The 18118-nt window shown below is 40.0% G+C and overlaps 1 annotated feature.

The window, feature by feature from the left end:
• Window positions 17249-17462: a silencer, noted in NCBI's record as "fragment chr3:3310572-3310785 (GRCh37/hg19 assembly coordinates)". NCBI's record gives its function as "represses an EF-1alpha promoter that drives an FKBP-Casp9 reporter gene in an ReSE screen in K562 erythroleukemia cells {active_cell/tissue: K562}" and the evidence as "EXISTENCE:reporter gene assay evidence [ECO:0000049][PMID:32094911]".

Consider the following 18118-nt stretch of genomic DNA (forward strand, 5'->3'; position numbering starts at 1 on the left):
GTCTTTTGGGTAACTTTGGCCTTTTTTTTAAAAACCATTTTACAATAAAAGTTTTGATTTTGATTTTATTATATTATTATTTTATTATTAATGACAGGGTCTTGCTCTGTCACTCAGGCCAGAGTGTAGTAGCAAAATCATGGCACACACTAAAAGGTGAAAAGCTTTTACCTTTTGGGCTCAAGGTGTTGTAGGACTCTCTCCATAGTTCAGCTAAAAGCCAGGTTCTTGTCACATAACTATGAAAAATTAGGCTCGCCGACATTTTGAAGGACGAGAAGGGCAGGGTTTATTGGGTGAAAAGGAAAAAAAAGGGAAACAGGGACTCTCAGCAAAGAGAGAGTCCTGCTGATAGGCTTCCTGTCTCACAGACTGAATCCCAGGTTAGCACCCAGGAACAGGAGAGGCCAGGCTACTGACCCCTGCAAATGGCACAAACTTCTGTGGCTCCACCCCAGTGTGCATTCCTCCCAGTGCGTGGGCTGGTGGGAAGTTCTCCAGGGATCCCTTTATACTTGGCTGTTTCAGAGGGGTCTTTACACTTCACTCTCCTGGGTAGCTAGGACTATAGGCACGCAACTGCCACACCCAGCCAATTTTTAAATTTTTATTTTTTGTAGATACAGGGTCTCACTATGCTGCCCAGGCTGGTCTCAAACTCTGGGGCTCAAGCAATCCTCCAGCTTTGGCCTCCCAAAGTGTTGGAATTACAGTCATGGGCCACTACACCCAGCCTACAACCAGTTTTTCTGGGAGATCAACATTGTTTCTTTAAATATAACAATCTTTATTTTTAAAATGGTAAAGTATGGCACAAAGAGAGGAAAGCCAACTTAACAGGTTAAGTTTCCTACTGATTTTTGTTTTGGGTGCGTTAAGGGAATATTTGTATTAACATTTCCAAATGGGCTTTGTATTGCAAGTTGACATTATGTTGAGGAAGTAACAGACCTGGAGTCAAGAGGTGTGCCTTAGTCACTAACCAGATGTGTGACCTAGAGCAAGTCACTTGACCTCTCTGGGCTTCAAATTCTTCCTTATGTAATGATATCAGTTGGACTGGATCAGTAGTATTCAAGTTATATTGTTATTGTGAAACCACCAACAGGATCCAGACCCCCACCCCCACTACACACACCCAAACACACACATTCACAGCCCAAGTAGCCCCACACATATTTGTTTTAAAGGAATATCACATAGGGATTTCATAGAAAAGAGGCTGTAAAATGTAATGGTTACAAGAATGTGCTTTAGAATCAAATCAACAGAGTTGAAATGTCCATTCAACAACTCCAGCTATGTGAGTTATATAAGCCTCAGTTTCCATATCTGCAAACTTATTATTAATGATATATTATTGATTATTTTTTATTATTAACTGTAGTCATAGGGATGTCTTCGGGGGTTAAAAGAGGTAATACAAAGGGCTTGCAACAGTGTCTACCACACTGTATTAGTCCGTTTTCATGCTGCTGATAAAGACATACCCAAGACTGGGCAATTTACAAAAGAAAGAAATTTATTGGACTTCCAGTTCCACGTGGCTGGGGAGGCCTGACAATCATAGTGGAAGTTGAAAGGCATGGAGGAACAAGTCATGTCTTACACGGATGGTGGTAGGTGAAAAAAGAGTTTGCACAGGGGAACTCCTCTTTTTAAAACCATCAAATCTTGTGAGACTCATTCATTATCACAAAACCATTTTTTCTTCTTAGGCCTCTGGGCCTGTGATGGGAGGGTCTTGCCTGAAGACCTCTGACATGCCCTAGAGACATTTTCCCCATTGTCTTAGGGATTAACATTTGGCTACTTGTTACTTATGCAAATTTCTGCAGCCAGCTTGAATTTCTCCTCAGAAAATGGGATTTTTCTTTTTTGTCACATTGTCAGGCTGCAAATTTTCCAAACTTTTATGCTGTGCTTCCCTTATAAAACTGAATGCCTTTAACAGTACCCAAGTCACCTCTTGAATGCTTTGCTGCTTAGAAATGTCTTCCACCAGATACCCTAAATCATCTCTCTCAAGTTCAAACTTCCACAAATCTCTAGGTCAGGGACAAAATGCCACCAGTCTCTTTACTAAAACATAACAAAAGTCACCTTTGCTCCAGTTCCCGACAAGTTCTTCATCTCCATCTGAGACCACCTCAGCCTGGATTTTATTGTCCATATCATTATCAGCATTTTGGTCAAAGCCATTCAACAAGTCTCTAGGGAGTTCCAAACTTTCCCAAATTTTCCTGTCTTCTTCTGAGCCCTCCAAACTGTTTCAACCTCTGCCTGTTACCCAGTTCCAAAGTCGCTTCCACATTTTCAAGTATCTTTTTAGCAGTACCCCACTTTACTGGTACCAATTTACTGTATTACTCTGTTTTCACTCTGCTGATAAATACTCGAGACTTGGCAATTTACAAAGGAAGAGGTTTAATGGACTTACAGTTCCACATGTCTGAGGAGGCCTCACAATCATGGCAAAGGTGAAAGGCATGGAAGAGCAAGTCACGTCTTACATGGATGGCGTCAGGCAAAGAGAGCTTGTGTAGAACCATCAGATCTCATGAGACTTATTCACTGTCAGAACAGCACAGGAAAGACTGGCCCCTATAATTCAATCACCTCCCATTGGGTTCCTACCACCACACATGGCAATTTTGGGAATTGTAATTCAAGATGAGATTTGGGTGGGGACATAGCCAACCCATATCACACACACTACCTACAAAACAATTTTAGGATTCTGAAACCTAAAATTGGTTTGAAAATCAATGAGCTAAATGATCTTTTAAATTCCTTCCAGCTCTTTTTTTTTTTTTTAAGAGATGGAGTCTCACTCTGTGGCCCAGGCTGGAGTGCAGTGGCATAATTTTGGTTCACTGCAACCACTGCTTCTTGGGTTCAATCAATCCTCCTGTCCTCAGCCTCCCAAGTAGCTGGGATTACAATCATGTACCACCATGCCTGGCTAATTTTTGTAATTTTAGTAGAGATGGGGATTTCACCATGGTGGCCAGGCTGGTCTCGAACTCCTGGGCTCAAGGGATCCCCCTGCCTCGGCCTCCCACAGTGCTGGGGCTACAGGCATGATCCACTGCTCCTGGCCTAAATTCCTTCCAGTTCTAAATTCTTTTTTTCTGAAAAGTAACTATTGTAAAACAGCATAAAGGAGCCATTTATAGATGGGGCTTCTCTGATTCCCTGACTTCAAGTGCAGCCTGACTTCTAAGTGGTAGTTTGCTGAGAATTTTATTTATGGATATCATCTATCTATCTATCTATCTATCTATCATCTATCTATCTATCTATCATCTATCTATCTATCAATCAATCACCTATCATTGAGCCTACTAAGGTAAAACTTACACATAAATTTAGTTCACCTGTTTTGGTGTACAGTTCCATGAGTTCTGACAAATGCATACCACCAAGGAACCACCACCACAATCAAGATATGGTTCCATCACCCCAAAAAGTTCCACAATGCCCCTTTGCAGTCAATCTTCTCACCCCACTCCAGCCCCTGGCAACCACTGATGGTTTCTGTCCCTTTAGGTTTGCCTTTTCCAAAAAGTCATATAAATGAGTCATATAGTCTATAGACTTTTGAGTCTGGCTTCTTTTCACTTTACTTCATTTCACTTCAGCATCATCCATCTTGTTGCATGGACCAGTAATTCAGCTCTCTATATTGCTGAGTAGAATTCCATTATGTGACTGTACCACAGTTTACTCATTCACCAGTTGATGCATCATGAAAAAAGCCATAAAAAACATTTCAGTGAATTTATGTTTAAATATCTAGGAATGGGATTGCTGGGTCATATGGTGGATGTATTTTTAACTTCATTAGACACTGTCAGGATTTTTCTAGAGTAGCTGTACCCTTTTGCATGCCTATCAGAAATTTTGGAGAGTTTCCATTAGTTTATGTATTTGTTTTCTATGGCAGTTATAAAAATTGCCACAAACTTGGTGGCCTAAATTTATTACCTTATAGCTCTGGAGGTCAAATATACAAAATGGGTCTCACTGGGCTAGAATTAAGGTTGGGGCAGTCTGCATTCCTTTCTAGAAAGCCTGTGGGGGAATCTGTTTCCTTGCCTTTCCAGCTTCTTTAGGCTGCCTGCATCCCTTGCCCTGTGTCCCCTTCTATCTGCAAATTCAGCAATGGCTGGTTGAGTCTTTTATACAGCATCACCCTGACACTTACTCTTCTGCCTCCTTCCAAATTTAAAGGGCCTTTATGACTACATCAGATACTTGCGTAATCCAGGAGAATTTCCTTCTTTTAAAGTCAGATGACACTGGGGCCGGGTGCGGTGACACATGCACGTAATCCCAGCACTTTGGGAGGCTGAGGTGGGAGTTGTTCAAGACCAGCTAGCCTGGGGGAACATGGTGAAAACCCGGTCTCCACAGCAAAAAAAAAAAAAAAAAAAAAAAAAAAAAAAATTAGCTGGGTGGGGTGGCATGGACCTCTAGTCCCAGCTACTTGGGAGGCTGGGGTTGGAGGACTGCTCGAGCCCAGGAGGAGGGGGTTGCAGTGAGCTGCTATCACTCCACTGCACTCCAGCCTGGGTATACAGCAAGACTCTGTCTCAATAAATAAATAAATAAATAAATAAATAAATAAATAAATAAAGTCAGATGATTCACGAATTTATTTTCCTTTGTGACTGTATTCCTCCCTTGCCATGTAATATAATATACTCAAAGGTCCTGGGGATTAGGATACGGACATTTTTGGGGGGGCATTATTCTGTCTACCGGAGTTCAAAACCTCACCAGCACATACTACTGTCAATTTAAAGAATTAAGTTATTTTAATGGTTGTGCCTATTACGGTTTTAATTTGCATTTCTCTAATGACTAATAATGTTGAGCATCTTTTCATTTATTTCTTTGCCATCATATATCTCCTTTGGTGAAGTGTTCAAATCTATTACCCATTTTATTTTATTTTGTTATTATTTTTTGAGACAGAGTCTCACTCTGTCGCCCAGCCTGGAGTGCAGTGGTGTGATCGGCTCACTGCAACCTCTGCCTCCTGGGTTCGAGCTATTCTCCTGCCTCAGCCTCCAGAGTAGCTGGGATTACAGGGATGCACCACCACGCCCAGCTAATTTTTGTACTTTTAGTAGAGACAGGGTTTTACCATGTTGGCTAGGCTGGTCTTGAACTCCTGACCTCAAGCGATCCTCCCATCTCAGCCTCCAAAAGTGCTGAGATTACAGGCATGAGCCACCATGCTCAGCCTATTACCCATTTTAAAAATTAGGCTGTTTTCTTATTATAGAGTTTGAGAGTTCTCTGTATAATCTGGACTATAGTTGTTTATCAGGTATGTATTTTGAAAATATTTTTCCCAGCCTATTGTTTTTCTTTTCATTTTCTTAATAGTATTTTTAGAATATTTAAATTTTGATGAAGTCCAATTTATCACTTTTTTCTTTTATGATTTATGCTTTTTGTGTTCTAAGACATCTTTGCCTAACCCAAGGTTACAAAGATTTTCTTCTATGTTTTCTTTTGGAAATCTTATGTTTGAAGTTTTACATTTGGGTCTATGATCCATTTCATGTTAAAATTTTATAGGTATACGATCTAGGTTCAGGTTCATTTTTCCTAACATAGATGTCCAATTCTTCTAGCAATTTCTCAAAAGCAGTTCATTTAATTTTCACCTTGATCAATATTTCTTTTATTTAAGAAAAGTCTTGAAGAAAATTTTTCAACTGTTATTTGGATTTTCATAAACTCAGAACTTTTCAGCTGTTTTTGATTTTTTCATTACCTATGTGCTAATGATACTATACCCTTGATCAAACTGAAATATTCATTCATTATAGACCAGGTTAGACACATACCAAGGTGGTCAATACATACCCTAAGATTTATGATGAATAATTGATTTCTCACTGTTGTGAATAGGGCCCAAATTGTTTGATTATGTATTTAGCTAGTAATGAAAACTCATTAGCAGAATCCTATTTCATGCTTCTTTACACCTGCAAACAATTTCTTCTTGTTTAAAGGATTGTTCCATTTGGTCTGCCTGATTTAATTTTTCCCAGTAACACCGTATTAATGACCATCACTCAACCTCACCTAGAAAGCATAAAGGGCTCTCAATCACCCTTTCCCACCTGGCTCCATTACCACTTTGCACCATCCCAGTACCTTCACCGACACCAAGGACTTGGAATTCCATGATGGTTTTTGAGAAATGGCTTTGAGTGACTTTGGAGAAGTTACTTAAACCAAGAATAAAAGGATGAGAGGCCCATGTAGCAGATATTCTTGAAATTGCATACAAACATATTTCTGATATTTATTTTTCATGAACATTCAGTTTGAGCATCGGTTTTATGTGGGGTGGTTGGAGGGAAGAAGACCTTAAACATCTAATTATATGGAAATCATTGGAAATAGCCTTTTACCCTAAGGAACTGATGACGATTGCCTCAGATCCAAATATCATTTACTTATCCAGAAGAGATTCTTGTTTCAAATATGAGATCACAAAGTCCTTGAATCAGATTGAAGTTGCATTTTAATTGGGATGGGTATAGCATTGATTTAGCCAATGGAGATGTGACTGGCTGTTCTTTTCTTCCTGCATTATTTACAGGTTTTACTTAACCAAGTTCCTCAGGGTGGAGAGCAGCAAAGATGCAATGACTCAGAGTTAGTGCTTTGAGATACTTTATCAGCTATCTGGAAATAGGATCAGCAATTACACCACAGGTCCTGGATTCCTGATGTAAAAAGAAGCAGGCAAGTGGCCTGCAAGAACTTGAAAAATGTTTCCTAAATTATGCCTAATATTTGCCATTAGGAGATTTAGAATACAAGTCCATGACCCTAAGGAGTCATACAGGAAAGTACCTGGTTTTACTTTTTTTTTTGAGACAGGGTTTTACTCTTTCCCCCAGGCAAGAGTGCAGTGGCGTGATCATAGCTTACTGCAGCATTGACTTCCTGGGCCCAAGCAATCCTCCCACCTCAGCCTCCCGAGTAGCTGGGACCATAGGTGCACGCCACCATGCATGGCTAATTTTTTGACTTTTTGTAGAGGTGGGGGTCTTCCTATGTTGCCCAGGCAGGTCTCGAACTCCTGAGCTCAAGTGATCCTTCTGCCTCGACCTCTCAAAGTGTTAGGATTACAGGCATGAGCCACTGTACCTAGCTGGTTTTAGTTTATTGGTCTCTCAAGCCTGTTTGAGCATGAAACACTTAGGTTCTCAGCATATCTATGAATAGCCTGTGGACCAGTGTTCTTTAGGATACCACTTTGGGAAATGTTGAGTTAGAACGCTGAAGAACTAGAAAGGTGCTTAGTAGTCATCCCATTTATATTGTTATCTCTCTTTCTCTGAGTGTCTTAGCATTTTCTCCCACTCCTCTAACTTCAATGAATTTTATTTTTCTTTCTTCTTGTTATAAATGTAGTGTTTTCAAGTACAATACTATTGGGTTGGTCGGACACCTTTTATGATATCCTTAAAGCAACATATGAGAATGGTACCAGGCTTCATCGTAAAAAGAAGATAATAATATTGACCAGTGTTAATATTGTGAAGATTAAATAGAATATTGTATCTGGAATTCCTTAGTAAAATGTACAATAAGATGATCATATTTAGCGTTTCAGAGTTTTTTTTTGTTTGTTTGGTGTCTAAGTGGAACCAGCTAGTCTGGCCTGGGGAAAAATACTAAAAATAGGAGCTTTATCTTTGGACAAACACTGCCTTTGATTTTTGTGTGACTCATGGATCCACCCTTTCCATTCTGTGGTCCTGATGTCCTGTGTTCTATCTCTCTAGCCTGTTCTCCTGCAGGGATAAGGTAGAAGTTACCGCCACTTCAAAATGAAAGGAGGAATTTGCATTTTTGGCCCTATGAGACAATGTGAAGAAGGTGGGAAGTGTGCTCGGATGGAGCCCTCTCCCTTCCACTAGTACTGGAGGCAGGAGATGCTCAAGGCTACACTTCTTCCAGAAATGGTCCCATCAAAAGGATTTTATGGGATGTGTCATCTTAGGAGCTCTTAGCCTCTGAGAATCTGCACATTCTTGTATGATTTGGGGAAACATTTTACACCCATCTACATAACTTTAAAATATTGTAGGAGAGTGAGAGAATGACAGAAGGATTTTTAATGGTCAACTGAATCCTCCTTATTAATGCTTTCATTTCTAAGGGAGAATTCTTGGGTCTCAGAGAAGTGACATGAGTTATTTAAGAGTACAAAACTCATATCTGGGACAATGGCTGAGGCAGTAGGCAATTCTGTGAGCTGGACAGCACCAAGAATATTATCCTCTGATCTGGGTGCAACGTGATAAAGGAAACATAGGTGAATACTCATTACCCAGGAAAGGGACTTCAAATCGTATCAGAATGAATCGTTGAAGACAATAGTGATGTTTGACCCAAGAAAAGAGAATCTTCAACTATGGAGGCCAGGAAGATCTAAGGAGCTAGTGCTCTAAAACAGAAACTGCAACCCTGGCTACAAATTAGAATCATGAGGGGCAGAGCACAAAGCAGGGTGCAGTAGAAGAGGGTTAGTCACGAAAAAGCGATAAGGACCTGCTGACCCCAAGCTCTCCTCCATCCTGAGAGTCTATGAGATCAGGAGAAAAACCCTGGTCTTACGTTGAAAAAGCTGCTGAGAACTTTCTCAGTCTCTAGGGAGCAACCATACAGATAGGGCTGGCTTCATGGTCACAGGGTCCTGTGCTTAGAAGTGTTCAGCACTTGGTTTAATGCTTTGCCATGACCGTCTATAAATTCTTAATCATTTTTGCACAGGAGGGTATGCATTTTCATTTTGTGCTGGGTTCTGCAATTTATGTAGCTGGTCCTGCATGCAGATTTCCATTATGAACCAACACCATTTCAGGGCTTGGAAGTGGTGACTGTATCATGCCATCAAGCTTGAAGGTAGTACCACTGCACCAGCTAAATAATCAGGGGCCAAAGTGAAGATAGGAGGGAAGAGACTAAGTCTCGAGCTTCAGTCTTCAATGTTATGCAGACACCATCTTCCATCAGGCTTCAAAAGGCTCTGACAGCTTCCTGGATTTAACCATCCAATTCTTTGTTCAGTCCAACCCTGAGTAAAGTAGCCAAACTCAGTGCTGGCTTTCAGTTGTGAATTTCTCATGGAAAATCTTCAGTGTATCAAGTCGAGACTGACATAGAGCCCCAGTCTTCTCTGGTTGAGATGGAACAGCAGAGGAGTAAAGTCTGTGTAAAGATCAGTAAAGAAAGGAAAGGCCTGGAGACCTGTAACTTTCATTCTTTAATTTGAGTACCAAACTTGCAAAAGAGGAATAATCTCTTAGGAGTTCCCCCTTTGAGTTCAATGATTTCAAGCATGGCCTGAGAATTAGGCATAGGAGCAATTAGCAACATGAGTCATGGTCCACAGTGAAATCCCCTTGGTGAGGGAATGACATTTCTCTTTCCCCAGAGCACTTGGCAGCTCAGACAAAATTGTCTGCTGGTCCTGAGGCCACCTCCTCCCTGGGAGATGATACAGTGATATGCCTGATAATGTCTGTTGGTGTCATAGGCCCAGGGTTTAAAAACAAAATTGAAAAACACACAGTAAGTTGCAATGGTAAGAGTAAAATTATGTGAGTCCTAATCTAGTTGTTCGATAAAATATTACTAAATTAGACTCTTCACATTCCTTTTGATAGCCTCTTCCTTTGAAGGACAATCTTACCATACTTTAGAGTTCCACTGCACTGTTCAAAAGGAGTTAGGTAAAACCTATAGGCCAGGTTATGAGGTTTTGTTTTGAATAATTTTCCCCCTTTAGGTGAACAAAACATTATCTTTATGGCTCTCTGGAGAGCTTCTGACCTGGAGGAGTTATTTTGTTTTGTTTTATAGCCTTAAGAAAGGTTTTAAGAAATATTTTGACAGAATAACAAACAAGTCAAACAATTTTCAGCCAAAGGCAGCAGCAGCTTGGTTTTTACACTGACATATTTGAGATGGTAATTTAAGGGGTGCTGCAGTTAGCCACTGCAGTAAAGATTGAATTTCCCTAAAATTATCTAAAGTGTATGATTGGTTGGATGCTTGTGTCTTTAAGACCCTGTTCATGGGTGAGGCCTTGGTGAATTGCCATGCGTCTAATACAAAGCTACCCTGATTGGGTCTCTGTAGGAATCATCAGCATGGAGGCTGCTGTGGGAGCTGCTATATTCCCTGTGCCTGGCAACTGTTTTATGCGGAGAATTTTTATCTACATGACACAGGCAAAGCCAGGTATGCTGTACTACCCTTCCTAAGTGTCCTTTTCTGCTTCTTGTTTCCTCATGATGCACAATAACATGAGATCAAGGAATATGAAGGGGCCAGAATCCTACTGCTTTGACCTATGTACTGGACCTGTGCTGGAACAACCCTGCAGACAATCTTCCTATATCTTTTTTTTTTTTTTTTTGAGACAGAGTCTCACTCATCGCCCAGCCTGGGGTGCAGTGGCGTGATCTTGGTTCACTGCAACCTCCGCTTCCTGGGTTCAAGCGATTCTCCTGCCTCAACCTCCAGAGTCGCTGGGATTACAGGGACGGGCCACCATGCCCAGCTAATTTTTGTATTTTCAGTAGAGACGGGGTTTCACCATGTTGGCCAGGCTGGTCTCCAACTCCTGACCTCAGGTGATCCACCTGCCTCGGCCACCCAAAGCGCTGGGATTACAGGCATGAGCCACTGCTCCTGGCCTCTTTCTGTATCTTTCTAAAGGCTGTGAGGACAGACACAGCTCCAGTGATGTTCAGTGCATAAATTCTCTCATTAAAATATCTCAGAATTTTATGCTTAGGAAAAAATCCAATACTCTTTTGTATTGCAGTTAGACTGCGAGAGCACTGTGGCATATTGCACTTCCTTTTTGCATTGGATGCCACGAAGCTCAGAGGTTGCTACATGCTCTATCTTAGCAAATTTCATTAACCTCAGTTTTTGGTACAGCTTTTTTCTCCCCGGCCATCTTTATTACATTGATTGGCTCTTTTTTTTTTCAATCATTCTATCATATCTGTGGCTTTTAGTACAAGCAGCTGGAAATAAATACATAGAACCCATTTACTCTACTTGTGGAATATTTAACCTGATGTATCTTTGTTCCTGGTATTCTTTAGAGCAATAGTTTTCATAGCGGGGGATATTCTTTTTAAGAGTACCCTAGCTACTACCTTCGCTCCCTGTTTGAGAAGTGCTAAATATGTGTGGTTCAGAAAAGATACCTCGATGATGTCTATATAATCCTTCAACCTATTCCACCCAGGCTGAAAGCTATAGGGGAAGAGCAATACAGTTGACCCATGAACAATATGGGAATTAGGGGCACCAACCCCACTGCCATACATTAGAAAATCTGCATATAACTTTTGACTCCTTCCAAACTTAACTACTTATATAGCCTTCTGTTGACTGCAAGTGTTCAGTACGTGGTTTAATGCTTTGCCATCACCATCTAGAAATTCTTAATCATTTTTGCACAGGAGGATATGCATTTTCATTTTGTGCTGGGCTCTGCAATTTATGTAGCTGACCCTACATGCAGATTTCCATTATGAACCAACACCATTTCAGGGTTTGGTAGTGGTCACTGTATCATGTCTATCATGCCATCAAGCCTGAAGGTAGCACCACTGCACCAGCTAAACAATCAGGGGCCAAAGTGCAGGTAGGAGGGGAGAGACTAGGTCTCAGGCTTCAGTCTTACTAACTACAAAAGGGTTACTAATAACAAAAAAAGAATTAGAAGACTTACTAATAACAAAAACAGTCCACTATCACATATTTTACATGTTATATACAGTATATACTGTATTCTTACAATAAAGTAAGATAAAGACAATGTTATTAAGAAAATCATAAGGAAGAGAAAATATATTTACTATTCATTAAGTGGAAGTAGATCATCAAAAAGGTTTTCATCCTTGTTGTCTTTAGGTTGAGCAGGCCGAGGAGGAGGAGGAAGAGGAGAGGTTGATCTTGCTGTCTCAGGTAGAAGAGGTGGAGGAGGTAGAAGGGGAGGCAGGCACACTTGACATAAGTTTTATTAAAAAAATTACTTATAAATGGCCCCATGCAATTCAAAGCTATCTTATTTAAGGATCAACTGTTTGAAACTTTAGTGTATATGGTACATTCTGATCTAGAAGGTCTCACATAGGGTCTAGAGATGTACAATTGAAATTTTTTAAAGGAATATTCACAGTGGATTTGAAACAGTGTTATGAAGACTCTAGGAAGCAGTGACCATCCAAGGTTAAAAAAAAGTGATGTAGGGTGAAGATTAACCTCATTCTATAAGTCAATACCAAATATTGATTTCAGAATCAAATAGGCTTCATTGCCATGGAATATTCCCTGCCTTAGTGGAACTGGAACACAGGTGACCTACAGCCTAGTCCCTGTTTTGCCTAATATCTTGGTGACCTTGAGGAATCCTCTTAAGAACTATACCTCTGATCTCCTCATCTGTAAAATAAAACAGTGGGCGTATGATCAAAATGACTCTTTCCACCCAGAAAATGCAATGATTCTTCACCACCATCCAGGGAGATGGTACATTTAGAAACAAGAGGAATTTTAGTGCCTCCAGATAAACGATGAACTGTGAGAATGACAGGAAAAAGCCTTTTCTGTAAAAAGTCAATATGGCTTGGTTTTCTGCCAGGGAAGCACACATACACTTTGTTCCCCAGCATTATAGATGTGAAAAGAGAATTCATGAGTTGTGTAAATGGCTGTTTCATCCACAGAGTTGGAAGCCAAATGCGATTGTTAAATATTCACAATCGATAAAACAAATCTGTAAACTTGATTTAGCTCGGAATAAGGAAGCTGGACTGGAGGAGATCCCTGGAAGGCACTGAGCAGCCCAGGCAGGGCGGATGCTGAAGATGATCAAGCTCTGTCTCTTCTCTCCTAGATCCTCTCCATCCAGGGATGACAATTCCCCCAACACTAAAAAAATTATTTTGCAGCAATGACCACTTGAAATTAATGAGTTCATCATCCCATGTCTCTCTTGGAAACAGTAAGACCAAACAGTTGATCCTTAAATAAGATAGCTTTGAATTGCATGGGGCCATTTATAAGTAATTTTTTTAATAAAACTTATGTCAAGTGTGCCTGCCTCCCCTTCTACCTCCTCCACCTCTTCTACCTGAGACAGCAAGATCAATATAAAAAACACTTTTTTCTTAACATGAACTCTTTTTTTCTACTGCCATATCTTTCAGTGCAGTACTACATTTTAAACAGAGAAGATGTAATTAAATTAGAATGCGTGGTGAAAAGCAGTGGAGGCTGATAATAATCGCTTTTCAGAGACTGCTGTAATTGGCGCTCCAAGGATTTCATTTCAAAGCATCAGTCAATTTAGGAGGGTTGTTTTATCTGGACTTGAGCTGCTTTGATGAAGACACTATGTCTTGATGTGTCTAGGTTTTCTTAAATTTAACTAAACTGTTTTTAATGATTATGTTAATAATTACAGTACCATGATTCTGTTTTATGGACATTGGATGATAAAATTCGAATTCCCATTCTGCCTATTAGTTAAAGTTGTAACCATAAAACGTGCACAATCCTCGCTCATTAGGCATTTGATAAGCCCTTGAAATTCCATGACCAATAAAAATGTCCCTGTCATTTGACGTCTCCTGTGCAGAGTTTAATACATCAAATCAAAGCAGGAGAGGAAGTTTCTTAATGAACATTCTAATATCCTACTTGTTTTTGCTCACGCTGTTGTTGTTGCTGTTTTTTAACCCGGATCGCCTTCCTCTTTTTTGCTCTGGCCCAATGGGTAATATTCTACTTATTATTTAAGTCATAGTTCAAACACCACCTCTTCCATGAAGTCTTCCTTGATTACCAAGAGAGGAGTTTGTTATTCCAAATTCCAGATCCCAGAGCTTAAGCTTTCTCATTTACAGTATGGTGATCCCAGGGCTATGGTGATTATAAAATGAGTTAACACTTCTGGAAGCTGAAAGGGTACTGTTATCACTGTTAGGAATTTTTCTTAACTCACCTGTTGGGATGCTGCGAGTTGGAAGTCATGGGATACAACACAGAAGCTGGCTAAAGTTTAGAGTCATCAGGACAAAATTTTACCTCTGATTGAGAAGTACCAATTAATTATCTGCAGGATGATATTTAGTGTCTGAAAGAAAAAAGCATGGAGGTCCTGAGGTAGACACACTACCTGGGTATGTAACCTTGGGAAAGTCACTTTATTTTTCTGGGATTCAATGATCTTTTTTGCAAAACAAATTTATTGAACTAAATTATCATTAAGATTACTTTTGCCTCCAGTATTCTGGAGTATAATTACACATGGTACAAACCTTAAAATTGTGCCCAAGGTATTTGCAGCATTAAAACTAATTAATAACATACCTAATCATCCCAACAGAGATCGGATTTCTTCTGTGCAATTACTGTTCCTGGCTTCATAAAGATAGAGCAGAGAAAAACGTCATTATCTTAGCATTCCATGCAAAGTTGATTAGTTATATGAAATATGTTTGGGTAATTAATAACTGGAAGTAGAACTCTCCATTTCATTGTTATAGTATCATCTTGACAAAATACCAAAGTTTCTTTTGTAGAGAATATAGTGAATTCTGTGATGTTTGCTGGTTCTGTGGAGGATAGAAAAAAAATCTCAATGATAGATCAAATAATGGCTAACATTTATTATAATCTTTATTATTTGTAGTAGTAGTAGTAGCAGAAAGGTCAGACGTGTTTGAACCAGAGCGACTCCATCTTGAATAGGGGCTGGGTAGCCTAAGGCTGAGAACTACTGGGCTGCATTCCCAGGGGATTAGGCATTCTAAGTCACAGGATAGGAGGTTGGCACAAGATACAGTTATAAAGACCTTGCTGATAAAACAGATTGCAGTAAAGAAGCTGGTCAAAACCCACAAAAACCAAGATGGTGACAAGAGTGACCTCTGGTCATCCTCACTGCTCATTATACGCTAATTATAATGGATTAGCATGCCAAAAGACACTCCTACCAGCACCATGACAGTTTACAAATACCATGGGAACATCATCCTATACGGTCTAAAAGGGAGAGGAACCCTCAGTTCTGGGAATTGCCCATGCCTTTCCTGTGAAACTCATGAATAATCCACCCCTTTTTTAGCACATACGCAATAAATAACTACAAGTATCCTTAGGCCAGCAGCTCAAGCCACTGCACTGCCTATGGAACAGCCATTCTTTTATTCCTTTACTTTCCTAATAAACTTGCTTTCACTTTACTCTATGGATTTGCCTCAAATTCTTTCTTGTGCGAGATCCAAGAACCCTCTCTCGGGGTCTGCATTGAAACCTCTTACTCATAACAGCAATAGTGCTAATGCTTGCTGAACATTTACCATGCACCAGGCACTGTTCTGAGTGCTTTATATGGATTCCATCACATAGTCAGTGCTGTGAGGTAGGTAATCTCATTATCCCTTTTGAGGTAATGGAAGCTCAGAGAGGTCAAATGACTTGACTAGAATGATACAGCTCATGTGTGGAAGAAATGGGGATTCAAAGGACTCCTGAGTCCAAGTCCTGGCTGCCAGGTAGAAGGTGAAAATGACAGGACTGTAGTGTCATTAATGAGAATTAGGACCCCATTTGCAGAAGACTGGCGCTATAAGATAGTAAGAGCAAGGGTGATAATCAGCTGCTATGATGGTTCCATTGATACTTAAGATATAGAAACAACTGGTTGGAAACGGCTACTGCTCTGAGTCCAAGTGCCTGCCTCATGGCCTCAAACTACTGTGACCTCTTTTATGGGACCCGCTTGCATCTTGTACTCTCCCAGTATCTCTTCATAACCTAGCAACAAAAGACTGTGATATCTGCCACAGCTGGGGAGTCCAGGATCCTGCCCCAGGGTTAAGACTGGCAACCAATGTGACCTTTGTTATCCCTGTCATAGTGATTGTGAATTGAAAAAAAATACTGCTCTTGGTAAGCAGGGCTGTGTATCAATATGCTGCTTACATTTGGGACAAAGGGTCTGTGCCTTCTGTTCTATGGGAAGGTAGTGGGTGGTTGGGGTGGGAGATTGCCTGAAGCATTGACTTGCCTAAGACAATATTCAAAACAATAAATTTGTGACATTTCAGTAGCACCGTTCTAAACACCATTCTCTAAATAAAAGCAACCAAGGGCTCTTTGGTGAATTGGATGATCCCCGAGCTGGGGTGGGGAAAATACAGAATGAGGCTGGAGCATCTGGGAATGCCAAACAGTAAGGAAATGTTAAACAAATCAACACAAAACAAAAAGATAGGGGTATGCTTGAAAGGCACAAGAGATACCTGGAAGAGCTCTGACTGGCTAAAGTGAGAACAGCTTGACCTACAAAACTCATGATGACAGTATTAGCTTACAACTTAAAGAATAAAATAAAAACATTCACCAGCCCATTCTGATATAAATAATGAACTGAACAAATAAATGGGGAAGAAGTGATAACTCTTCTTTACAGATAAATTCCAATTAATACATGTACAAGAAATGGAAGAAATAGAAAATCATCATTATAACACACACTAATAATTACTGCCAACAATCTCTCCTGATGGATGCTATAATTTGTAAGTAAAAGTTTAAACAGAAATGTAGTATTTTCATAGTTTCAAAGGATATTCCCCAAATATTTGGTAATGACAAAGGGAAAATAGTAACTTTACAGTGGAGAAACATGGAAGACACCGCATTAGAGAAGTGGTGGAGGTTAGTATCACCAGTAATGCCTGTAGATATCATACACTCCCTGATTTGACAAATGAGAAGCCACATCATCTCCATGGTATACACTCCAATAATGCATTTCCTCCATATAGCAATGAGAAAACATCAGACAAACACAAATGAGGGACTTCGACACAATAACTGAACAGTACTCTTTAGAAGTGCCAAGGTCATAAAGACAAGGAGAGAAGAAATTGTCTTAGGTGGGAGGAGACTTAGGAAACATGACAACCAAATGCAAATTGAGATCCTAGATTGGATTCTGGAACAGTAAAAGGACATTAATGGAAAACTAGTGAAATTGGGATAATTCTGCAGTTTAGTTAACAGTAGTAGTTCTCAGGTTTGATCATTGATCTATGGTTATGGAAGGGGTATTTAATATAAAGGGAAACAGAGTAAATAAAGGGTATAGGGGAACTCTGTACTATTTTTGTAACTTTTCTCTAAGATTATCTTAAAATAATGAGTTTTTTTTAAATTTTAAGTTTTTATTTTTTATAGAGATGGTGTCTCAAACTCCATCAAACTCCAGGCTAGTCTCAAACTCTGGAGCTCAAGCAATCTTCCCACCTCCACCTCCCAAAATGCTGGGATTACAGGCATGAACCATGCCTGGCTAAAATAAAGAGTTTTTAAAAAGGAATTTAAGAATCAAAACCCAGGAGAGTTTTCTACACTGTGGCCTCTGAAGAAAGCATTTTCCCACTTTCATGAAATAGATGGAATTAAGATTGGGCATGGTGGCTCATGCCTGTAATCTCAGCAATTTGGGAGGCCAAGGCAGGTGGGTCATCTGAGCTCAAGGAGTTTGAGACAAGCCTGGGCACCATGGCAAAACACTTGTCTCTACAAAAACCACAGAAATTAGCCAGGTGAGGTGCTGTGTGCCTGTAGTCCCAGCTACCGGGGAGGGAGGCTGAGCTGGGAAGATTGCTTGAGCCTGGGAGGTGGAGGTCGCAGTGAGCTGAGATGGTGCCACTGCCCTCCAGCCTGGGTGACAGAGAAGACTCTGTCGCAAAAAAAAAAAAAAGAAAAGAAAAGAAAAAGAAAATAAAATGTAACCTATGGAATTATATATGGAATTTGTATGTATCACAATAAGCACAATGTTTGAGGGAAAAATTTAAACTGTGGACCACCAATTGCAGTGCTTACTTTCTTAAAAAATATTCATTCAACAAATCTTTATGGATCTCCTTCCGTGAGCTAAGAACCGTGCTACTGTGAGTATCTTTTCTTTGATTTTTGTATAACCTTCATTTCAAAATCTTTCTGCCATATGAAGTGGAATGAC

This window comes from Homo sapiens, chromosome 3, assembly GCF_000001405.40.
Source record: "Homo sapiens chromosome 3, GRCh38.p14 Primary Assembly".
NCBI lineage: Eukaryota > Metazoa > Chordata > Mammalia > Primates > Hominidae > Homo > Homo sapiens.